We start from the raw sequence: 26,177 nt of genomic DNA, 5'->3' as shown, positions 1-26,177 counted from the left end.
TTTGCCATCTTTAGGATATAAGAATACAGTTGTGAGCAAAAGCGGTTACCACATGTGAATTTTTCATAGCAAATCATCACACTGTATGAATTCATATTGCAAACCAATATAAATATTTTGAAAGAAGGGAACATAGATCTATAAGAACATGTAGTCCAGGAGTAGGGAGGAATGATTAAATAAGGTTCCTTTCCTGAAATTTGAAGGGTGATTTTTTAGATATATTTATTTTGGGTTGGGGTGTCGAGAAAGTGTTTTAGATAAAGGAACATTTACAAGCAAAGTTTCAGGTAAAGAGCAGATAAGGTCAGGTCTATCATCAGGGCTAATAGTTTGAGAACCTAAAGATTATACAAAGTGAAAATGCTCCTAGTCAAAATATGGTGGATGAGTGATACACAAGTGTGAGACTGCAAGGTTTGTTAGCCTAGTAGTTACATGTCCCCTAAAATGCTTTGTAGAACTTTAAGGGAGGGAATTACCAACTTCAACAGATTTCAATGTGAAGGTTATTGGCCTATTTCAGGGAAAAATATGGAATAGCATGTCTATCATGAAGACAAGAAGGGTCATCTTGTTTTAAAGCTTCAAAAGTTGACTTTAAAGTTTTAGCTGGCAAAAATGCATCTTGAAATTTTAAAACAAGTTTTCTAGTTTTGTCAGGCCTACCATTTTTCTTTGAAAAACTAATCTTTAATAGACTAATCCTAAGTAACATTAATTTTTTAAAATATTCTATTCCTTCATTCCTGAATGTAAAAGCTATTATCATCATAATAAGCTGATTTAAAAACTATGTTTGTGCTTAAGAATGGCCATGGATTCTTACCTTTTTTGAATGGCTACTATTCCAATGCCTTTGTTGTTTATGCAGTCCTTAATATGTTCTCTGTTTTTTAACCCATGTACTGTTGCATGCTTTAAATGCACTGTTTGAAACCGACCTTGAGGAAGGCAGACAAGACAATGGAAAAAGGCAGTAGATTGTCATATAGAGAGTTTAGGAAGAACTGGTTTATCTTCAAAGCCCTGAATATATGAATGCTTCCTAGCGTGAGGTTATAAATACAAAATCAATGGTATACAGAAGATTTGTGCCCTCAGTTTAGAAATTATTTTTATTGTCTGAAAAGCTGGAGTGTAAGTTTCCAGTCACAAAAGTAAGGAGCTTGGAAGTTGTTACTCTATCCTAACAACAAGTAAAAATCTGAACAATTTGAAAAAAAAATCAACCACTCTTTTTAGATTCATCAGAGAAGTGAGGTTACAGAGCAAACTTATGCCCTCCAAATTGGAAACACGGACTGGATATAGAGAATCACAACTTAACAGAGCAGAGCAGAATGCTCCACTGGAATTAGTTAAGAGTAGGAAAACCTGAGATGTAATTGACAAACTGCTGTAGGCTTGGTGTGGACAAGTCTGAGAGTAAAATAGTCCAGCGAGGACATTCATACTGGGGCCCTCACACTTTTGTGAGTTTTAACTCCAGAATCTCTACCAGGCTTTCAAAGTGAAGATCAGGGAAAGATCCCCTGCTGATTCTGGCAGTGGGAGCAGAAAAGTAACTAGTTTGAAATACTCCGGAGCATTCTGTTCTTATGAGCATGGGCTGCCTTCAGGAGAAGCTATTTTATCAGAGCCTTATATATTGGGGTTTTATCAGGTCCCAACTGATATAAGAGAAGAAAAATACCTGATTCCAGCTTCCTCTAGCTATTCTGTCCCAAGGAGACAGATTGTGGACACTTGTGAAGAGACACTTGTGAAGTCCACAGTCCAGGGGCACAAACTCACTAAAAGACAGAGATTATAGAATTATAATTATAGGACTGTTATTTGTCTTCCCCTAACATCTTACCACCACATGCTAAAGGCCTATTTACTATAATTTCTTTTACCTAGTACATTATATCTGTCTATCAAGAAAAGGTTACAAGGTGGCCGGGCATGGTGTCTTGCACCTGTAATCCCAGCACTTTGGGAGGCTGAGACGGGTGGATTGCTTGAGCTCAAGAGTTCGAGACCAACCTGGGCAACATGGAGAAACTCAAACTCTACAAAAAAATACAAAAAATTAGCCAGGCATGGTGGTGCTTACCTGTAATCCCAGATACAGGAGGCTGAGGTGGGAGGATCACCTGAGCCTAGGAGGCAGAGATTGCAGTGATCTGAGATTGAGCCACTGTATGAGAAAAAGTTACAACCAAAAGGCAGGAAAACACAGATTGAAGCAATTGAATAACATCAGATCCAGAGTCAAATGTGGCACGAATTTGGAATTATTAGACCAGGAATTTTTTAAAACTTTGAATAACATGCTAAGGGCCCTAAAGAACAACATTAAGACAATATGCAAGAACAGTTAGGTGATGTAAGCAGAGAGATTGAAATTCTAAGAAAGAATCAAAACATCATTGTAGAGCTCAAAAACACTGTATCAGACATGAAAATGCATTTGATTCACTCACTAGTAGACTGAGAATGGTTGAAGAATCTCTCAGCTTGAAGATGTGCCAATAGAAACTTCCAAAACTGAAAGGACTGAAAAACTGAAAGACTGAAAAAAAAATACAGAATACCCAAGAACTGTGGTACAATTACAAATGGTATAACTTCACATAATGGGAAGACAGAAGGAGAAGAAATCTTAGAAGCAATATGACTCAGAATGTCCTCAAATTAATGTCAGACACCAAGCCACAGATCCAGGAAGCACACGGAACACAGAACATTAAGCAGGATAAATGCGAAAAAAAAAATCCAATAAAAAACACTACACCTGAACATATCATATTAAGAAAAAAATCTTGAAAAATACCAGAAGGAGAAAAAATACCTCACCTCCAGGGAAGCAAAGATAAGAATTAGATCTTATTTGTCCTCAGAAATCTTGCAAGCAAGAAGAGAATGGGGTGAAATATTTAAACATTTGAGAGAAAACTCACACCAACCTAGAATTCACCCTTCAAAAGTGAAGATAAAAGGAAGATTTCTTAGACAAGTAAATATTGAGGGAATGTGTTATCATCAATAAACCTGCTTTTAAAAATAATGATTTTAAAAAGTTCTTCAGAGTGAAGGAAAATATATAGGTCAGAAACTCTGATCTACGTTTAAAAAAGGAAAACCATTAGAGAAGAAACAAATGAAGGCCAAATAAAATCTTTTATATTTCATATTCACTTACCTAACAGGTAACAATGTATCCAAAAATTATCAAAAAGGTATTTGATAAACAGAACTCATGTATTAGTGAAATGAATGACAAAAATAATACAAGGAATAGGAGGATGGAATTAAGAATACTTTATTATTATAAGGTACCTATACTACCTGTGAAAGGGTATAGTATTCTTTGAAAGTGGACTTGAATTAGTTGTAACTGTATACTACAAATTCTAGGACAACAACTGAAAGAGTTAAAAAAAGAGAGAGAGAAAATGGCATCATATAAAATGTTCAATGCCTTTTAATCAAAAATGGACAGACCCAGCAGGCAGAAAATAAGCAAGGACATAGTTGAACTCAAAGGTACCATTAATTAATCACTTGTAATTGATATCTATTGGCTACTTCATCCACAACAAGGAAATACACGTTTTTTTCAAGCTCATATGGAATATTCACCAAGATAGTCCAGATTCTTGGCCATAAAACACATCCTAACAAATTTATATAATGTCTGTTCTCAGACCAGAGTGAAATTAAGTTAGAAATACATAAAGGGAGATAAATGGAAAATGCCAATGGAGAATAAACAACACACGTCTAAATAACACCTCATTCCAAACAAATTTCAGGAGAAATTTTAAAATATTTTGAAATAAATGGCAATGAAAATACAACTTTTTAAAATGTTGGGATAGAGTGAAAACAATGATTACAGGGAAATATATAGCATTTCAAATATAGTTTAGAAAAGAAAAAAGATCTAAAATCAATAATTTAAGTTTTCACCTTAGAACGTTATAAAAAAGAAGAGCAATTAAATGCAAAGTAAGCAGAAGAAAAGAAACAAAAAATGGAGCAGAAATCAGTAAAACTGAAAACAGGAAATCAATATAGAAAAGCTATGAGACAAAAACGTAGTTTTTCAAAAGATGAAAAACATTGATAGCATATAGCCAGGCTAAGAAAAAAAAAGATAAAAATTACTTATGTCAGGAATGAAAGAGGTAACCTCACTACAGATACCTTAGACATCAAAAGGTTGATAAAGGAAGACTATTAATAACTCTGTGCCCACAAATTAGAAAGCCTAGATGAAATGGCCAAATTTCTTGAAAACCGAGATGAAATAGTGCAATTTGTCAAAGCTTACACGAGAAGAAGTAAGCCTATATATATGAAATTGCATCAGTAGTTAACAATGATCTAAAACGGAAAGCAATAGGCAAGGCAGGTTCACTGGTAAATTTTACCAAACATTTATTGAAGAATTATTACAAACATTCTGTCATCTCTTCCAGAAAATAAAAGTGAAGGAAATACTTTCTAACTCATTCTATGACAACAGCATTAACTTAATACCAAAACCAGGCAAAGACCATTACAAGAAAAACAAAGTAGACATAATTGTCTCTCATGAAGATAAATGCAAAAATCCTCAACAAATAGTAGCAAATTGAATACAGCAATTTATAAAAAGAATTATACAACAGAACCAAGTGGGATTTATTCCAGGTATGTGAGTGGGATTTATTCCAGGTAATAGATTTGAAAAATCTATTAATGTTACCCTCACATCAAAAGGCTAAAGCAGAAAAACCACTTGATTGTATCAATAGATATAGGAAGATCATTTAACAGAAATCCAACTCCATTTATGATAAAACACTCAATAAACTAAGAATAGTGGGAAACTTCTTCTACTTGGTAAAGAACATCTACAAAAAAAATTCTAAAGTTAACTTCATATTTAATAGTGAGAAACTAGAAGCTTTCCAGCTAAGATAAGAAACAAGGGAAGGATATTCCCACTCACTGCTCCTTTTCAACATAATGGGACTTGATGTCCTAGCTAATACAACAAGATGAGAAAGAAATAAAAGGTATACAAATTGGGAAGTAAGAAGTAAAACTATTTTTCTTTGCAGATGATGTGATTTCCTATGTAGAAAATCTGAAAGTATCAACAACAACAAAGTCCTGGAACTCATAAGTGTTTATACCAAGCTTCTCGGATACAAAAGTTAACCACTTTCCCATATATCAGCATTAAAGAAGTGCATTTTAATTTAAAAACACAGTACTGTTTACACTAGCACCCCAAAAATGAAATATTTAGGTTTATATCTAACAAAATATGTATAAAAGCTATATGAGGAAAACTATTAAACTGATTAAAGAAATCAAAGAAGTACCAAATGGAGAGATAGTCTGTTTTTACGAATAGGATGACTCAATATTGTCAAGATGTCATTTTTTTCAACTTGATTTATAGATCTGATGCAATCCCAGTCAAATCCCAACATGTTATTTTGTTGATATTAAAAAATTGATTTTAAAATGTATATGGAAAAGCAAAAGACCCAGAATAGCTAACACAATATTGAAAGAAAAAACAAGGTCACAGGACTGACGTTAACCAATTTGTGTTAAATATACAGTAACCAAACAGTGTGGTATTGAAGCAAGAATAGACAGATCGATCGAACAGAATAGAGAGCACAGAAATAGTTCCACATAAATATAGTCAACTGATCTTTTACTAAGGCGCAAAGACAATAGAATGGAGAAAAAAATAGCCTCTTCATCAAATGGTACTGCAACAACTGGATATCCATGGCCAAAATAAAATGAATTTAGACAAAGAACTTACAGCTTCACAAAGATTAAAAATGGAGCATAGGTCTGAACACAAAATACAAAACTATAAAAATCCTAGAAGATAACATAGGAGATCATTTATATATAATTGGGTATGGCTATCACTTTTTATGTACAACACCAAAGGCACAATTCATGAAATAAAGAATATATAATCTGGGTTTGATTAAAATTAAAAATGTCTGCTCCGGGCAAGACATTGTTAAGATAATGTGAATGTTAAGCCTCAAACTAGAAGAAAATATTTGAAAAAAAATAGCTGATAAAGGACATTTACCCAAAATACACAAAGAATGCTTAAAAGTCAACAGTAAAAGAATTAACAACCCAAAGAAAAGTGGGCAAAAGACCTAAACAGATTCCTCACCAAAGAAAATATACAGAAGACAAATATTACAAGAATATGAGAAGATGCTTCACATCATATGATACTAGTGAATTACAAATTAAAACAACAAGGAGTTACCACTACATACCTATTAGAATGGCCAAAATCCAGAATGGTGACAACACCAAATGCTGGTAAGGATGTGGAGTGACAGGACCTCTTATTCATTGCTGGTGGACATGAAAAGTGGTACAGCCACTTTGGAAAACAGTTTGGAAGTTTCTTATAAAATGAAACATATCTTACCATACAATCCAGCAGTTGTGCTCTTTGGTATTTACCTAGATGAGTTGAAAACCTTTGTACATACGCATACACACAAAACCTGAATGGTTTAAACATGGATGTTATAGCAGCTTTTTTCACAATTGCCAAAACTTGGAAGCACCCAAAATGTCCTTCAGTGTATGGATGGATAATTAAACTGTGGTCCATTCAGTCAATGGATTATTATTCATTTCTAAAAAGAAATGAGCTATTAAGTCACAAAAAAACATGGAGGAACATACTTCTAAGTGAAAGAAGCAAATTTGAAATAATACATTATGTGTGACCCCCAACTATAGGAGATTCTAGAGAAAGTAAAAAGTATGGAAAAAGTAAAAATATTGGTGGTTACCAATAGCTAAGGAAGAAATTTGGATGAATGAATAGGTGGTATCGGGGGAACCTGCCCCCAGTATTTCAATGTAGGCTCTTTACATTTTCCTTTAGTGTCAGCTGGCTGAGAAATAAAGAGAAAGAGTACAAAGAGAGGAATTTTACAGCTGGGCCTTCCAGGGGTGACATCACTTATAGGTAGGACCATGATGCCCACCTGAGCCACAAAACCAGCAGGTTTTTATTAAGGATTTCAAAAGGGTAGGAGTAGGTCACAAAGATCACATGCTTCAAAGGGCAAAAAGGAAAACAAAGATCACTGCTTCTGAGGAAACAGGGCCAGGGCAAAATCAGAAACTCCTGATAAGGGTCTATATTCAGCAGTGCACGTATTGTCTTGATAAATATCTTAACAGAAAACAGAGTTCAAGAGCAGATAACCCGTCTGAGTTCAAATTTACCAGGCTAGCGTTTCCCAGTCCTAGTAAGCCTGAGGGTACTGCAGGAGACCAGGGCTTATCTCAGTCCTCATCTCAACCGCATAAGACAGACACTCCCAGAGCAGCCATTTATAGACCTCCCCCCAGGAATACAATTCGTTTCCCAGGGTCATACTATTAATATTCCTTCCTAGGAAAAGAATTTAGCAATATCTTCCCTACTTGCACATCCATTTATACGCTCTCTGCAAGAAGAAAAAATATGGCTCTATTTTGCCCGACCCCACAGGCAGTCAGACCTTATGGTTGTCTTCCCTTGTTCCCTGAAAATCATTGTTATTCCGTTCTTTTTCAAGGTGCACTGATTTCATATTGTTCAAACAAGCTTGTTTTACAATCAATTTGTACAGTTAACCCAATCATCACAGTGATCCTGAGATGACGTACATCCTCAGCTTACAAAGATAACAGGATTAAGAGATTAAAGTAAGACAGGCGTAAGAAATTATAAGAGTATTGTTAGGGAAGTGATAAATGTCCATGAAATCTTCACAATTTATGTTCCTCTGCCGCAGCTCCAGCCAGTCCCTTCATTCGGGGTCCCTGACTTCCCACAACAGGTGGAGTATGGAAGATTTTTAGGGCCAAAAAAATACAGTCCATATGATATTATAATAGTGGATAAGTGTCATTATACATTGTCAACACCAACAGAAAATGTAACACTAAGAGTTAACATTAATGTAAAATTTGGACTTTGGGTGATAATGATGTGTTAAAGTGTGTTCATTGACCATAGTAATTGTACCAGTTCGGTGTTTTTGTTGTTTTGTTTTGTTTTGTTTTGTTTTGTTTTTGAGGCAGGGTCTCATTCTCTTGACCAGGCTGGAGTGCAGTGGTATCATCATAGCTCACTACAGCCTCAAACTTCTGGGCTTCAGTGAACCTCCCACCTTAGCCTCCCAAGTAGCTAGGACTACAGGTGCACACCACCACATCTAGCTAATTGTTAAATGTTTTGTAGAGCTAGAGTCTCATGATGTTGCCCAAGTTGGTCTTGAACTCTGGGCCTCAAGCAATCCTCCAGTCTTGGACTCCCAAAGTGTTTAGATGACTGGTATGAGCCAGTGATCTAACCTGGCCTGGTGGGGGATGTTGATAGTGGAGAAGATTGTGTGTGGGGGACAAGGGGTATGTGAGAACTCTCTGTACTTTCTATTCAATGTTATTGTGAAACTAACCTGAAAGTCCTCTAAAAAATAAACTCTTAAAAAAAAACCACACACACAATATAGCATGTTGTAGAGCTAGTCAATAATTTTATCTGTAGAATTTCATTATGTTGCAAAGTATTCATACCTAGAAATTGACAAAACATGCCATTTTGTGCTAGATGATTTAAAACAATTGCCAAAACACAACTCCAAGGGACCTGAAATCAGACGTTTGGAGATATTACTGAATGAAGAATAGTCTGAATAATATTAAACATTGATACAACATGAGTTTTTGGTATATCTAGTTCCATTGAAAAGATATGATAATTTTTTTGAATAACAGGATTCTAACTTAGAAGGATGTATAAAGGACCTGTGCAAGTATCTTATGATAATATGAATGGCTTATTATAAATGTATCTATACTGGAAATAAAAGAGCCATGATGCAAATACCATTGAGCAAATTTTTATCGTGTAAGTAAAAAGCATGAAAAACCAAAACCAATGTCCATCATCTCAGATCACCCTGAAGTTTAACCTTCAGGAATATGTGCACATTGATTGTATATGTAGTGTCTTCTTGGGATTGCCAATATCAGCTTATGAGGTGCCTTTCTGAGTCTAATTTGTTCATACATAGAACCAGTTTTACATAGAAACTTCACCAATTACCAATATTTGGAAGTGATTCAATGAATTAAGCCTTACCTGATTTTGACAAAATTTTGCATCTAAATTTTACATGTGCTTTGTTTAGGTGATTAAAGCCAAGTTATAAAATTCATCTAGACAAAATGTTGTATGCTTCTTTGCAACACCAAATATTATTTTTTGTCCAAAACCAGGGAAGCATTATAAAATATTGCAGCAATAAGAAGCGCCCTGGGGTTTTTTGAGCTGATTAGCTTTCACAGTTTACTTGATAATGTGGACTCCATTTAACAAAAAGCATAGCAAGAGTTACAACAAGGATGAAATGTGACTCCTTAGCCTATCTTATGTTAGATATGTTTCCCTGATTTTCCTTAATAATATTTCTACTTCAGTTAAATATGGACAAATATATTTCACAGTGATTTTTTTTTTCAAACTAGCAGCTTTGTTTTTTACAAAGACCCAGACTTTTAGATACAAAATCAACTATGGTTTAGAAGGAGGTGGTACCATAATTTTAATAACTCTTAAAACTATGATTAATTATAGTACAATTTGAAAACATTTTCTAACCACTAGGTAAAACAATTTTTATAAAGGGTTTTTAAAAAATATATAGTCGGTTTTTATTCTGTAAAGTGAAATTCCATTTTCAGAAGTTATATTCACTGAAATTACCTAACCTGTTCCAAATCCAGAAGATTTGCTGGCCAGAAATGCTACGGTGTTGTGACAAAGTGAATAAATAGGAAGCAGGTCTAGACAGAACACTAGGAAGAAGAGGAAATGAGGGCAGAGCTAGGGATCATTATCTTATATCAAGGTCTCTGGTTTTAAATTGAATTTCCACTCTAGTTGCCTTGTGAGTTCCCATGGAGTTCTAATCAGTCAAGGAATAAAAGGCTACTTGAATAGCCAAAAATAACATACTGTTCATAAAATTTTCAAAGAATATGACACCCCACTTCTACATGCCAGAAGAGTAAGTATAAAGATTATGTGGATTAGTTTTTGGATTCCCTTGAAAAATAGATAAACAAACAAAACAACTCGAGGACACCTAGCTAAAGGAATTATAGAAGCAAAGTAAGTATGCCAAGGAAAAAAAAATTTAGATCATGTCACTTGTATAGCACAAAACGTATATTGTTTTTGACAGGACAAAATCTAACCTCCTTAGCTCACCTAAATTCATTTTCAATAAAGCCAGAAATACAATTAATTAAATAGCTTTCTTATTTGACATTAATGATTTCTGGCTTCCTACTACCCATGTAACATGTTTGAATCCTCCTTGTATACAATAACCTTTCCCTAATCTGAACTTCTAATCATACTTCATCTCTGACTATGCATGGATTCTTAATCCTCCTATCTTAATATGATGAGTCTTTATGCATTTGGCTTACTTTTCTTTTAGAGTTTAAGCATATTGAAAATAAGCTTCATTATTGTAGTATTACCCAAATTTTCCTGATTTTCATGAGATAGTCAAAAATGAATTCATTCATTCATTTGTGAACAAAAGAGTAAGTCAACTTAAAGCTCTATTGGAGACTCTTAATTTAAGAAGTTAACTGTAGGTTTGGAATGAATGTTAAGAGGCCCTTCCACATTAGTAAATTTGCTTATCGTTTTGCAAATCTTACTTCTGTGTGACTTCAAATTTTTGGTATAATGGAAATACAGCACAAGCAGCAGTCATTCTCGTGCTACAGATTGCTACAAGCTGTAAAGAAGTCTACCTTTAAAAAGTGAACCCAAATCATGGGAAATAAGTAGTCAGCAATCTTGGTGTGAGTATTTGTTACAAGTTGTTTGTTGTCAAAGTAGTGTTTTAATAGCCAACTGACAACAGAAGAAAATATTCTTGTAGCTTAGGATAGCTTTGGAAAGAACTAACAACTAAAGAGAAAGAGGCTGACATTGAAAGGATTTCAATGATTTCTGTTAGGCATAGATAATGAGATCAACAGGTTCACAACTGAGGGGAAAAAGTAAGGAAACGGTTTCTCACTATTATTTTTTATCAAGTTGTTTTTAGGAAATCACAATATGCATAGCATAAAGAAACATCAATGTAAAGAGCGTACATCCATTTTTATTAAAATGAATCAAGTAGTACATGCATCAAACCAAAATAAATACCATTTTAAAAATTATCAATTGGGGAAGTTATGCTTTTATCTTTGTTTTTAATTGCAAAAAAAGCAAATGATTCAGAACTATATATTTTTTAAAAGTAATATCCTCTCATTCTTCTTTTTTTTTTTTTTAACAGAAATGCTCTTTATACTCCAGATATTGTTCTTCAATTTGCTGTGTTCATTCAACAATATTGGCAGCTTTATAGTATTTTCTTGTATGAAAGTGCCATAGTCTACTTAACTGCCCACTTATTGACAGGCATGTAAGCTATTTTCCAGAAATCTCTATTTACAAGTCATTGAAAATGTGTATCTTTCCATCACTTCATTGTTTGTCTAACATCTATTTACTACCCATTTATCAAGGCATTTATGTACTTCTTTAAGATACATTCTCTGAAGTGAAATTGTGTGGAACAACCTTTTTAAAAGTTAATAGTTATTGACAAATTGTCCTATAAAAAGACTGTATAAATATATATTTATGCCAAGAATGCATATGAGTACCTATTTTCCTGCCTCTTTGACCAAACTGGATATTATCATTTTTAAAATTCTGCCAATATTTATATATCAATTAAAAGCTTCATTTGACATTTAATGAAGTTAAACACTTTATATGTTTATCACTTAATGAAGCAAAATTGGAATGAATATACTAAGTTTTTGTGAGGATTCAATGCCATCTTTTAAATAGGGTTTGGCCTGAGCTAAGCCTGCCAGTTATGAAAAACTTTGTTCACTGTCAAAACAATCATGACAAATTGAAATGTTTTCTTGTTCTGTACTATAACAGGAGTGCTTGTTTGTTTGTTTGTTTGTTTGTTTGTATTAGAGATTGGGGCAGGTAAAATGTCCTGACAGCTCAATGGGTATACAACTCACCTACAGTAAATTCAATAAGCTGCATTAAAAAAAAAAAAAAACAGTCAGGATAATGGAAACACATTTAAAAGAAACTGTGTCCTCTAATTTAGTGAGAAATTATGCCTTTAAATTGTTTTTGACCATGACACACATACTTAAGTCTCTAACAGAGAAGAATCCAGCTCATAAGTGACACATGTGAACATGGGCTACACTGCCCTTCCACCTTTCATTACTAGAGCCCCCACACAATTAATTCAGTGAAAAGATAATTAACAGCATGGCCTTTACAGCTGGACTGCCTCAGTCAAAATTAAAGTTCTGCCCTTACTAGCTGTGTGATTGTGGGTAAGTTATTTAACTTCTTGTGCCTTGGATTCCTAATATGAAAAATTGGGATAATAGCATTATCTACCTCATAGGTGTAGGGTTGCTGTGAGGATAGGAGGAGTTGGTATATGTAAGGATTTTTGAGGTTGTAAGTAAGCATTACCTGATTGCTATAGGTATTATTTTCATCAGGAAATCCTTTGGGAGACAGGAGATGTCGTGTGAGCTACAGCAGTGAGTATAGTTTCTGAAATTGTTAATACAGATGTAGAAAGGAAATAATATGGTAAAAGAATATCACATATTCAAAAATTTAGCCATAGTTTGACTTATGAACCAGGAATTAAAAAGTTTCTTTCTCATCCTTCTTCATAAATCATTTGGAAACTAGCAGATAGAATATATATTTTATTATTAACATTTGTCTACTATATTTTAATATATTAGATTAATAGAAAATTGAACTGGGATCATAATTTCTACTTGCAATCTTTATTTGAAAATAAAAATGTGTCCATAATAAAACAACTGTCTCACAAATGATTTTTTTTTTTTGAAAACCATGTATTCAATTGAAAATGGCCTTACATAAGAGTTTTTAACTGGACCGCAGAAGTTATAGCTGGAAGCAATAATGAGCTTATTTTTTCACTAACTACCAGCTGATATCATGCTCAAAATATCAGTAGGGACATGGATTTTGATGGGGTCAGTGTATAATACTTGTTGGTAAGAATAAATTGGATAAGCACCACCTTCTAATAGCATATGTATATACTTTGTGTATGACTTCCAGTAAGTGCTATCACCAACAACATGGGAAAGCAATTTATCAAAGCATTTACTCAGGGATTATAAAAAACCTATAAAAAGTATAATGAATAAATGTATAAAGAAGACACAAATCCTACCTACCATCCCCCCAACATTTTCAAGCCAGTAATTATTTTTCAGGTTCTAAAAGGGCTATTGATATTAGATTGCCCTGACATTTCAGAGCTGTACTTTGAATGAGAACTTATTTAACTCCAAGACAGAGTTCAGATTAAGATTCATAAGAAGCCTCTTCTCAAAATCTGGGGTTAACACTTGAATGGGACTAAGCCTTGCCAGGCTGACTTAAGGATGTCTTCCTTTGTACTTCTGTTTCACCTTGTGAATATCTCTGGTAGAATAATTATTATTTTACATTTTTATGGTCTATTGATGTATCTGGATCACCACATAATGGCCTCTTAAAATCCCTGCATCTCAAATACCTCGTAAAGTGTATGATGGATGAGAGCAGTGCAATAAATGTTTAATGATTAAATCACTGAATGAATGAAGTATCAGTTACAGAGGTAAGAGTAAATGAGAGATGGTACCAAATTTTAGGTGTCTGAAAATATTGGCTTTAAACATTATATATTCTTGATTTCTATCATTTCGTATGTTTAAAATGTCTCAATATGTTTAAAAATGGAAGTGCACCAACAAAAATCACATGTAAAATACAACCTCAACACAACGTTGACGCTTGGATTATGTGGCTATGACTAAAGCACAAAATTGGAGAAAAGTGCCCGGGAGGTTAGTAGAGGAAAACTAAAATGCTGAATTATCAACCTAAAATGACAAGGTGATAACTGTATGCTCATTTAAAAAAATGACAATTTTTTTCATCATAGATCTAGGAATTCTCGTCATCAAAAAATAATTATTAAATACCTTAATATAATAAACTATATTTATTACTCTCTGAAGCAAGTAGTCTTTTCCTCTACAATGTTGTAGAAAAGATACAACATGTTCATATTTTGATTTTAAAAGTATAAGGCAATATATATTCTGAATATGTGATATTGACACCCACTGTTCTATGAATTCAGAGGAGAAAGAAATCACTTGTGACTAAGATGGAAACTCCAATACCTTCGTTATTATTAGCACCAGTGCCACCCAACATGAGGCAATTTTCTTGCATTTAGTGTTAGAGAAGGTTTCACTGAGTAGGTAAGATTTGATGTAGTCCTTGTATGGAGAGATCATATTTCAGGATTATGTTTTGAATGGCATGAATGTATGGAGGCAGGAAAATAGGAAAACCTGTATTTGACAACATATAGGTTTGGATAGAAAGGAAAGGTCTTTCAAGAGGTCCTAAGTATAAACATGGAAATATGAAAGAAATTGTCACTTTATTTTTATTTTTGTTTTTATTTTTTGAGACGGAGTTTTGATCTTTTGCCCAGGCTTAAGTGAACTGGCACGATCTTGGCTCATTGCAACCTCCGACCCTTGGGTTCAAGCGACTCTCCTGCCTCAGCCTCCTGAATGGCTGGGATTACAGGTGCACACCACCACACTTGGCTAATATTTGTATTTTTAGTAGAGACGGGGTTTCACCATGCTGGCCAAGCTGGTCTCAAGCTCGTGACCTCAGGTGATCCGCCGACCTCAACCTCCTAAAGTGCTAGGATTACAGGTGTGAGCCACCATGCCCGGCCGAAATTGCCACTTTGTAAAGTTTGGGATTATCTTAAAGGCAAGAGAGTACCTAGGAATTGATATGAGAATATCATAGTGCAAATACCAATTACCATAAATAATTATCCATTTTATTTTCTTTGCAACCTCATTCCATCCTAGAATCAAACCAGTGACAGAGTGATTCAGAACACAAGCATTGGAGATAATGAGGGATGAGATTAGATTTCATCTCCAGAGCTTACTAGCTGTCTCTGCTTTGAGGATTCCTCACCCATCCTAGCTTGTTTACTAATTGTTATATGGAGTTAATAACTTCATTATATGTTTTCTTCAGAAATTGCTATATTTATGTAGTTTTTAGCTATGCTTTGGCATATAGTAGGAATTAATTCAATTGTAGCTATTGTTGCTAGTAGCCAGATGCATTCCTATTAGTACACAAGCTTTTAAAATCTTTTTGCTAAAAGTCTACATGGAGATATGAATTATTTTAATAAAATAATATGCACATACCTTATATAAATGTTAAATACAAGTTATCCAAGATTCTCAAGATCACTACTATGATGGATATTCTTTTAAATTTTTTAATATGTAGATGTACTGCTTTTTTTAAGAGGCAATTTTTTTTTCTCAGTTTCTTAAGGATGCAATAGAGAAGTTGAACAAAACATTCTACCAGTGATTATGATATAAGGTTTTGCTTGCACATGGAAGATAAGAGGCTACAAGGAGGAAAAAAGTCAATTTTTGATCCAATACAGTAAGGGTCAGTGATGCCCCCAAGTGCATTCACTGTGTTGTGGGAAAAATGAAAAAGTCTACATTCTGTGAATAGTTTTGTTTCAACCAGTCAACTTTACCCAAGGGTGAGCGAGCAGGAAAATAAAGTTTGTGAAATTGGTACAGTAGGTTTATATGTGATTTGAGGATGTTAAGAATTTGAGGATAAATTGACATCATACAGTTTAAACTTTGGCAAAATGGCATGATTCCATTAAGACTGTAAACCAATCTCTTTTGAGAACTATTGAGATATATCCCCATCAGAGAATAATTCTTTTGGTTTAAAGCAGTGATTTTCAAACTGTCTTAACCAAAACCTTATGGTTGCCCATTGATGCTGCTGGGCTGACATTGCATGTGTTAAAGAGTGTAGCAGATGTTGAGCTGGAATTGTACTGGGTTTTCTATCAACCCCTACCCACATTCTCCATCTCCATCTACAACACCATCTACCATCAACCTTGCTTTACCTGTTCTATATACTGAAATTTCTCTTCAACTTTTATTTATAATAATGGTCCACTTAATAACCATGGGATGGCAGTGTGTTTGTGTAAGTCTCTGTACATATGCAAATGGAATTAAGCTATTTTGGTCTATTAATCTTAAGAGTGAATTGTTAGAATGAGAAGGATTGTGAGGGATCTGAAAGATTCATTGTCAGGAGGAGAGGGGAAGAAACAATAGATTAAAGGACTGGGGAATTCATCTGATTAAGTGGGAATAGAAGACTATAGAAAGAGGAGAATAAGTAAAAGATAGAAATTCCAAAGACAAATCATGTGTTTTATTGTTTTGATAAGAGTCTCCCCTAGAAACAACTTTGAAAACTATTCTAGAAACTATTCATGAATGGAAAGTAGAGTTTTCTAGAAAATGACTACAACAAATTTTCCTACTAAGAAATGAAGATGGCCTTACCCAGAGAAATGGAAGTAGGTAACTGATAGTCATAAATGATACTATCTTATCTTATATACATTGTATTAGTTTTCTTTTACTACAGAAGAAATTGCCACAAGTTTAGCAGCTGGAAACAATATGCATTTTTATCTCACAATTTTTATGGGTCAGGAATCTGGGTACATCTTAGCTGTGTCTTTTGCTCATAGGTCACCCAAGGCTGTAATCAGAGTGTGGGCTGGGCTATGTCTTTTTTTGTTTGTTTGTTTTTGTTTCATTTCCAACTTTTATTTTAACTTCAGGGGTACATGTGCAGATGTACAAGTTTGTTACATAGGTAATGTGTGCCATGGTGGTTTGCTGTGCAGATCATCTCATCACCTAGGTATTAAGCCCAGCATCCATTAGCTATTCTTCCTAATGCTCTCCGTCCTCCCACCCCGCACCCTCCGACAGGTTGTATTGTGTGTTGTTCCCTCTCATGTGTCCATGTGTTCTCATCATTCAGCTCCCACTTATAAGTGAGAACATGCGGTGTTTGGTTTTCTGTTTCTGCATTGGTTTGCTGAGGATAATGGCTTCCAATTCCATCTATGGATTCCTACAAAGGATGTGATCTCATTCATTTTCATGGCTGCATAGTATTTCATGGTATATATGTACCACATTTTTTTATCCAGTCTATCATTGATGGTCATTTAGGTTGACTTTATGTCTTTGCTGTTGTGAATATGCAGTGTATGCAGTGTATGTAGTGAACATACACATGCATGTATCTTTATAATAGAATGATTTATATTACCTTGGGTATATACCCAGTAATGGGATTGCTGGGTCAGATGACATTTCTACCTCTAGGTCTTTGAAGAATTGCCACACTGTCTTCCACAAGAGTTAAACTAATTTACACCCCACTAACAGTGTAAAAGTGTTCCTTTTTCTCCACAACCTTACCAGCATCTGTTGTTTTTTAACTTTTTGATAATAGCCATTCTGACTGGTGTGAGATGGTATCTCATTGTGGTTTTGATTTGCATTTCTCTAATGATTAATGATGTTGAGTTTTTTTTTTCATGTTTGTTAGCAGCATGTATATCTTCTTTTGAGAACTGTCTGTTCATGTCCTTTGCCCACTTGTTAATGTGGTTGTTTGTTTTTTACCTGGAGGCTAAAATGGGGAAGATCCACTTCCAAGATTAGTCGGCTATTTGTCAGATTCATTATTTTGCAGTTGTGGGACAGAAGGTCCTGATTTCTTGTTGGCTGTAGCTAGGGGTGGTCATAAGTTTCTGTTGATTCTCCTCAGCTCCTAACAGCTGCCCACATTTCCTAAACACTTTACCTGGAGTTCTTTGACATGTGAACTTCCCTAATAGGGCCACTTACTTCATCTGTATGAAAAGGACTAGAGCAGACTAGAGCAACTGTATTACAAGACAGTCTTACAGAATCATGGAAGTGATGACATCCTGTCGTCTTTACCATATTCTATCAGTTAGATATAAATCACATACTCACTCAGGATCAAGGGAAACGGATTTTGCAAGATCATGAACAGCAGCAGATGAGGATCGGGGGGCTGCCATGCAGTACATCCCCTCAACACGTTAATAAATCAAAATTAGCTAAGGGGAAAAAGACAGACAGATGACATATTATAGGACGTTATGTGCACAGATATCTGTATAGTAATAATGAAACTACAAAATGGAATCTGAAATATGGCTTTAGTGAGTACCTGTGTTAGTACCATGAAAGTGACTCACAGTAGAGATTCCTTTTTATTCAGCTTGCTTAGTAGTTTACACATAGGTTATTATATCTGCCTGCCTGCGCTTAGTTGTGTTGACAATAAATTAATGTAATAATTAGTTCTTGTTGTTTAAACGAGTTTATTTTTAAATGAGGAACACAGCTTTTAGGCTTTTGAATGGCAGATACACCTGCATTCTTCCTCGGGCAATTTCCCTTAGGAGGAACCATGTCACCTGAAGTAGTGACATTCCTCCATTTAAAGGAGTGTGGTTACAGATAACATTGCCAGCATGAGGTTTTAGGTTTAGAAAAAGCCTGAGGCAAGTAGATTATGTTTAGTCACTGAAAAAACACAGACACAGTTTGTGCCCAAGCAAGCTAATTTATTCCAAACTTGTGAAGCTTTGTTTTGATAACTTCTGAGCTTGTTCTTGGCTCAGTGAGCCTTTGAGAAGGCTTTAAGGCTTTCCTTCTAAGTGTTCTCTTTTGTCATGACAAATGCTATTTAAGGGACTAATGAACTGAGATCATAAAGAGAATCCTTAAAGGAGTTTAATGGGGTCATTGTGATATACCCTGCCAGAGGTAATGTATTTCTGCCTTACAGTGTTTACTGTAGCCTGCAGCAACTCTGTATGTGAAGTTTCCATTTGTATCATATGTGTAAATAGGGGAGTGCGCATACAAGTGTTTGAAGGGATGAGATTTTGGTGTGAAATTTTTAGAGCTTTTTCAAAGTTAACTAAACTTTTTGGAAGGTTTCAAACTGTTTACTTTTTTTCTCTGTTTTATGCAGCTGACACATTTCTCCTCTTTCCCATTCACAGAGTCTTTGCTCATAACCTGGAAGCTTTTCAATTGTGATTTGGGTATAATCGTTATATCCTATTATAATGAAACTATGTTACTGTATAGCCGTGTTTCAGGAAATAAGAAAGAAAATAAAATTGGCATCAAAATATTGAATTGTTGTACATTTCCATTAAAACAGCTGAATAAAAATAAACAAAAAAAAATCACCATAATTGTCAGGACTTTTTCATACTGTTATTGAGCTTGAGCATGCATTGATTTTTTTAAGTATCCATGTGCATAGAGCTTGCAGAGATTAATATGATGGAGCAAGCACACTGTGGTGTAAGACAGATCTGAGAGAGAAAGAGGACAAATGACCTACATATGTTGACTCAAATGAGTAGTGAGGACTGCTGACTCTTATGACCAATAGTCTCTCTCTCTCTTTCTTCAGAAGACATATTATAGGACAGCTTCTGGCATAGTATTTATGGTAAGCCTCTGTTTCTCATAATTTCTGCCTTTGACATTTTAAGAATGACCAAGGAATTTCACTTGGCATGACTGTTTAGTTGAAACTTAAATATAACACTGAAAATTAACATGAAGTCAATCTCAGCTATACTGAAAATGAAATCCTACACTTAGGCTTAAATCATTAGCTTAAAGTGAAGCTATAAATGGGATAACTATATTCAAGAATATCAAGAATGCCTCCCTCTCTACTGCAATATCATTCATATTTCTTACCTATGTAAATGCTGTGCTCATACATAAATAGGAGATGACGTGTTGTCTGGGTATGAATAAATTAGTGTTTTCTATTCTGTGTAATTTACTGACTTCCACACATAGTTTGTTTCTGGGTTATAATGTTTATTTTAATCAAATTTTATTTGTCCAGGTGCATTTTTACCATCTCCTCTGTCTGAATATGGTCAATGATGTAACTGTCTTGAAAAGTACCGTAAAAGTAGTATAACCACTCATCCCCTTTAAGTTAAATACCTACTACAGGTGTGACACAGAATTTGAAATGAAAGATCTTTTAAAGGCGTCTTTTTCTTATATTCAACATAAATTCCACCGTTTCAAAATTGGATCTTCAGTGGGCCATGGGCGTTTAAATACTCCTATCACCAGAAATTATTACAATCTATTCTGGTGTAATTTAAGCCAAGGAAACAAGAGCTGAAATGGATATTCCAATAAGCTCAATTTGTCAGACAAAGGTGTCCGATGGATGTAAACCTGCATTTAGAGGCTTGTTACTGTCTCTAGAAAGTGGTAAAATATAGGACTAGGTGTAGAAATTGACTATTCATTACCAAAAACTAAATAAAATAAATAAAAGCATAGTCCAGGATTAATGCAGGTGTTCTGCTTGCCATTTATATATCTACGTAGTTTGAAAACAGTTCCAAGATTGTACTCTATGAAATGAAATCTTACTTGAGGGCCTTTGAATATTGATACAAATTTTCCACCTGGTGCTTCAGTCAAACATTTACTCTGTTAGTGTTCTGGCTAATTTTGAGCTAGTAAAAGCCATAAAAATTAGTTTTCTATTTTAACAAACTCTTTTGCACTATAGTAACTTTAAAATGTCACTTTAATCAATAATATGTACAGTACCAGAGCCTTTGGGCATATGAAATATCAGTTGTTTAATTTTGAAATATGAATATTGCCCTTACAAAATCATCTGGTCAAGCATTTGCATTATATTACACTTAGCACAAAGACTTACATTGTACGTAGAATGTCTTCATCAGTTATATAAAGAAGATGTAAGGCTTGAGGATATTTATGTGTGATATCCAATTACAAGACCTTATGGCCAGGTTAATTTCCCCAATTTCTGCCCCATATCTGGGCAGAAAGAAAGAAAATAAAGCTGTTTTAAAACTATCCAATGTATACTGCTAGAATGTTTGGTTATTGATTCTCTCTCTCACTTGTCCACACACACACACACACACACACACACACATCATATATGTTATATATAAAAGAAATCATGCACCCACACACTACTCGTCTTCATATAGTCTGGACTGTAGTTATGACTTTTAGTACAAACCTCACCAATAATGGTGCAAGTGAGTAGTCATAATAGAATTTGAGGGATGGTGAGGAAATACGTATGTCTAGACTCACATACCTGCACACACACAAGATATACAAATAAATATGTGGATGAATTTTTTCCATATCTGTAGATTATTTTTAGGATCTCTGACTTTGAATATATGACAAGTAGAAAATGACAATTTTACTGTAAGGAGTTTTAGGGAGAACTTCAAAGATAAAGGAGTTATTCTCCACTCCAAAATGACTAAAACAAAAATAATGACTGGCCCATGTGAAGATCAATTATGAGAGAGACATGACATCATATGATTCCAAAGATATCTGAGTATAATAGATTCAAATAAAAGCCTCAAATGGAAAATCAGAAACACATCTTTTTCTATGAGTAATTGTACGAAATGTTATTATTATAAAAGCAGAAATTTAATGACAACTAAAGATCACCTTGCAAAGTACATCTATTTTTTGTTACAGTGTAAACTAATAAATACAGCTGTCAACTACTGTTTACTAAGCACTGTGCTTTGACTATAAATCTCTAATTCTTCAGGTGGAAGAGGTCAGAGTAGGAAAAAAAGAGATGGTAGAAAGATGGTGCTCCTCTATTCACAATAGCAAAGACATGTAATAAACCTAAATGCTCATCAATGGCAGATTGGATAAACAAAATGTGGTACAAATACAGCATGGAATACTATGCAATCATAAAAAAGAATGAGAACATTTTCTTTGCAGCAACATGGACAGGGCTAGAAGCCATTATCCTAAGCAAACTAATACAGGAACAGGAAACCAGATACCACATGTTCTCAGTTATAAGTGGAAGCTAAACAAGAATACATGGACACAAAGAGGGGAACGACAGACACTGGGGCCTACTTGAGGGTGGAGGTTGAGAGGAGGAAGAGGATCAAAAAATCACCTATCACGTGTTATGCATATTCCCTGGGTGACGAAATAATCTGTACATCAAACCCACGCAACATGCAATTTACCTGTATAACAAACGTGCACATGTACCTCTGAACCTAAAATAAAGGGTTAAAAAAGAAAAAAATGTCCAGGTGCAGTGTCTCATGCCTTTAATCCCAGCACTTTGGGAGGCTGAGGTGGACAGATCACTTGAGGTCAGAAGTTAAAGACCAGCCTGGCCAAGATGGTGAAACCCTGTCTCTACTAAAAATACAAAATTTAGCCTGGTATGGTGGTGTGTGCTTGTGGTCCCAGCTACTTGGGAGGCTGAGGCAGGAGAATCACTTGAACCTGGGAGGTGGAGGTTGCAGAGAATCACTTGAACCTGGGAGGCAGAGGTTGCAGTGAGCTCAGATCAGCAGCCTGGGTGACAGTGACAGAGTAGACTCCATCTAAAAAAAGAAAAAAAAAAAAAAGGCTGGGCGCGGTGGCTCACGCCTGTAATCCCAGCACTTTGGGAGGCCGAGGCAGGCAGATCACGAGGTCAGGAGATCGTGACCATCCTGGCTAACACGGTGAAACCCCCATCTCTACTAAAAAACACAAAAAATTAGCCGGGCGTGGTGGCGGGCGCCTGTAGTCCCAGCTACTCTGGAGGCTGAGGCAGGAGAATGGCGTGAACCTGGGAGGCGGAGCTTGCAGTGAGCCGAGATTTCACCACTGCACTCCAGCCTGGGCGACAGAGAAAGACTCCATCTCAAAAAAAAAAAAAAAAAAAAAAAAAAAAAAGATAAACATTTTAAAACCTGGTCTAAACTGAAAATATTTTTAATTTATTGATGCATACAATGGAAATAAAATTACTGGGTACAAAATGTGTTTAAAAATGTAAACTTTTACATTTTTTGCAAAAAATATTGCTTTTGAAATTTTTGAATTTTTGAATTTCACAAAAAAAGTTTTGATTTATAAAAGCAGGAAACCAAAAGCTTAATAAATCCTCATATACTTAAAGAGTAAGAGTACTTAATAACAAGTCTGTTATTTGACTCCATGTGAGACATGGCTACAATGCGGGAAAGAGAGAAAAGGAAATACATTAATATCTAATGAGCATCTACTATGTGCTAGGCACACAGTTTCTCCTATGCTGTCTCTACAAAACTAAGGAAGAGCTAGACATGCTTGCCACATAGCAGCTGCTGAATGAGTGAATGACAAACTTTCATGATAAAGCTTGATTGCATTTCATGTTAGATTTTTTATCATGGTTGTATAAATAAAATATAAGCAAACATTTCATTCTGAAAACAAATATTTAATCCTGGCTCTAAGATGGGCATCTAGGAGAGAACCATATTAAGCTATGGTTTTGATTAACAGGTAAATATTGTATACAAAATAATTGCTATGAAATAAGATAAATGTAATAATAGAGGCATGTATCTAATTGCTCGGTGGCATAAACAGTCCTATTGCTTGGGGTAGGAAAACTTAGAAGGCTTGATTTAAGAGTGATATTTGTGCCAAATTGTGAAAAATACTATGATCATCCCATGAAAGAAACACAGTGCAAAACCAGACAGGTTTTGTCAAAGATGTACCCATGTAGATATTGGTATGGAGTTCACAGGAAAATGATGGTACAAAACTTAACTAAAAAATGTGTTCGGCTCATCTATCTTGCTTAGTGGTGATTGTCTGGAACCAAGAGAAAGGTTATATGACTTGTGAAATTTGTTTCAATGTTTAGAATCAATAATAGCAATACAATAGGGTATGGGCACATTGATTTAAAATGAAGCACAAGTACTGGGCAAAGATTTGGGTACATTAAGAAAACATATAAATACAAGCAAAAAATACCAAAAATAGGCTATAGTATGTTTAGCTGTGAGGTTCTTTCTATTATTATCTCAGGACAGGGAAAGTGGGAATACTTAAAATCATTACTTAAGGACAGGGAAAGTGGGAATACTTACCATCAGAGAATATGGGTTTTCTTATCCTTCATTCAAAGACATCTCATTGTGGCTTTGGTTAAAATTTGAATTTCTTTTCAATTCCTGTGTTTTAAAAATAATAAAAAAAGTATCTGCCATAGAGAGAACCAACTTTCTATAATTATGTTTTAATATGAAATTCTTCCTATTATTTAACTCTGCATAAATTCCTTTTATTAAATATATTCAAAATAATCTAAAAGCATATCAATATCCATAATTAATGTAGTTCACTAACCCCTTGCAAATTATTTTAAATATATGACAATACATTTAGAATGACCAAAATTGCCATAATTTTACATCAATTTCAAATCATATTGCTGCAAAAACAATATATAGACTTGTGACTACAGAATTACATCTATAATCGTGAAATTGTCTTATAAAAGTACCTGGCAAAATGAAAAATGATATAAAAAAGTCTTAGGAAAGTAAATTAAAACCTCCTCAAGATTCCTAAGCAATATCCTGTGTTAATAAAAACCATGTAGAAGGTCTAAAAGATAACCTGTACAAAAATGAATCAAGACTTTGGTTATGACCCCTTCATTAACAGATTATTTTGCAAGAAGTGAAATTTAAGGCAAATATTTGACAAGGCCACAGATATGCAAGTCAGGCACAGTCCAGTGAATGCGGAACAGGTTCAGGAAAGACCACTGTGTTAATAGTTAGGTTCCATGAGCTTTTTTCCATCTGCCAAATCCTTTTCAGGGCTTCAGTAATGCTCCAGTGTTCAAGTGACTGAACAGTGTCATTGAAAGAGACTGATATAAGTTTACAGATCCATTTTTTATAAAGGGCAGCATATAGGATCAAGAATCAGCAATTCCAGGAAAGCACTGAATAGAAATCTCACCGCTATGCCCAAGCATTGGCAACTCTAAGGGTGAAACAAATCAGAAAACACTTACTATGTAGGATCTGGAAGCCAAAGTTCTGCTGCCATTTCAGCTTGCTGTCAGTAAGTCACTCTACCTCTCTGAATCTCTGCTTCTTGATGTGTTCAAATATGATTTGAGAATATTTTATGGGTCCATTTAGACTAAAATTATTTTATAGTTGGTTGATTGAATCATAAGCTTTCACTTAAGAGAGCCTATTTCTCTCTAGTCTGTATTCTACTTCCTATTCTCTGCTGTAGATTTTTCTTTCAAAATTCTCCAAACAAGTACTTAGTACTCAGTAATAGTACTTAGGCTGAACTATTTTAGGATTATAGGTAAAGGAACACAGTTTGGGAAAATACTCTGAATATAATATGGTACATCTGCAGAGATATGAGACTAGTCCAGGAATTGATTTAGCCAGTGTAGCTTTAACCCTCTAAGTGTGGGTCATCAGTTCCAGGAGCCAGCTGTCCCTTTTCTTCTTGGAGACATTTCACCCATTCCCATATCCCTTTTTCCTTACTACTTCTTTTTTGTGTGTTTGTTTGTTTCATTTTCCACATCCCTGCTTGTCTGTTTGCATTCTATAAAAGATCTAAAGCCACAGTAGGAGCAGCTTGATAAGAAACTTTGCACTGCCAGTTGTAATGGCTTCTATGAGGACACCACAGTATGGGGTTGGATTTTTGCTATCATTGCCCCTTCTCAGAGGAAGAAGTTAAAAAGAGCTGCCCTTTAGAACCTTCTGGTTACCAACCGCCAATTAACTTTTTCAGGAAAAGACTTTCTAGTGCATCTGGCATAGCAGGGTGTGTGATACATGAATTTTTCCAGGCTACTAACTGGAACTAAGTTAGTCCAGGGTACCAACTGGAACTAAGTTGCATGCAGTTAGTTTCCAGGGAACTAACTGCATGCAAGAGTGAATTTAGACCCTTATCCAACACTATATACAAAAATCAACTTAAATTGCATTAAAGACTTTCATATAAGACGTGAAACTTCAAAACTACTTGAAGAAGACATGGAAAAGTTCCATGACACTAATCTGGGCAATGATTTTTAAGATATAATCCCTAAAGTATAA

The 26,177-nt window shown here is 34.8% G+C and overlaps 1 protein-coding gene across 14 annotated transcripts in view, besides 1 other annotated feature; it reads left to right on the top strand.

Annotated features, from left to right (window-relative positions):
* LINGO2 (leucine rich repeat and Ig domain containing 2) overlaps positions 1-26,177 on the top strand; it is a 1,275,985-nt gene that overhangs the window by 506,443 nt on the left and 743,365 nt on the right. Inside the window, exon 1 of one of the 14 annotated variants that reach the window (XM_047422817.1) lies at positions 18,624-18,978. The exons of the other annotated variants lie outside the window; for them this stretch is intronic. The gene's annotated coding sequence lies outside the window, so the exon portion shown is untranslated. Of the gene's footprint in view, positions 1-18,623; positions 18,979-26,177 lie in introns of those variants that run through there. 14 annotated transcript variants of the gene reach the window in all.
* Positions 18,395-19,070: an enhancer, noted in NCBI's record as "OCT4-NANOG hESC enhancer chr9:28688087-28688762 (GRCh37/hg19 assembly coordinates)". NCBI's record gives its function as "activates a minimal SCP1, AML or CMV promoter by ChIP-STARR-seq in naive H9 embryonic stem cells {active_cell/tissue: H9 hESC(naive)}" and the evidence as "EXISTENCE:reporter gene assay evidence [ECO:0000049][PMID:30033119]".

The sequence above is a fragment of the Homo sapiens genome, chromosome 9 (genome assembly GCF_000001405.40).
Source record: "Homo sapiens chromosome 9, GRCh38.p14 Primary Assembly".
Lineage (NCBI taxonomy): Eukaryota > Metazoa > Chordata > Mammalia > Primates > Hominidae > Homo > Homo sapiens.
Note: the sequence above shows the minus strand (reverse complement) of the source record. Positions and strands in the feature narration are given on the sequence as shown.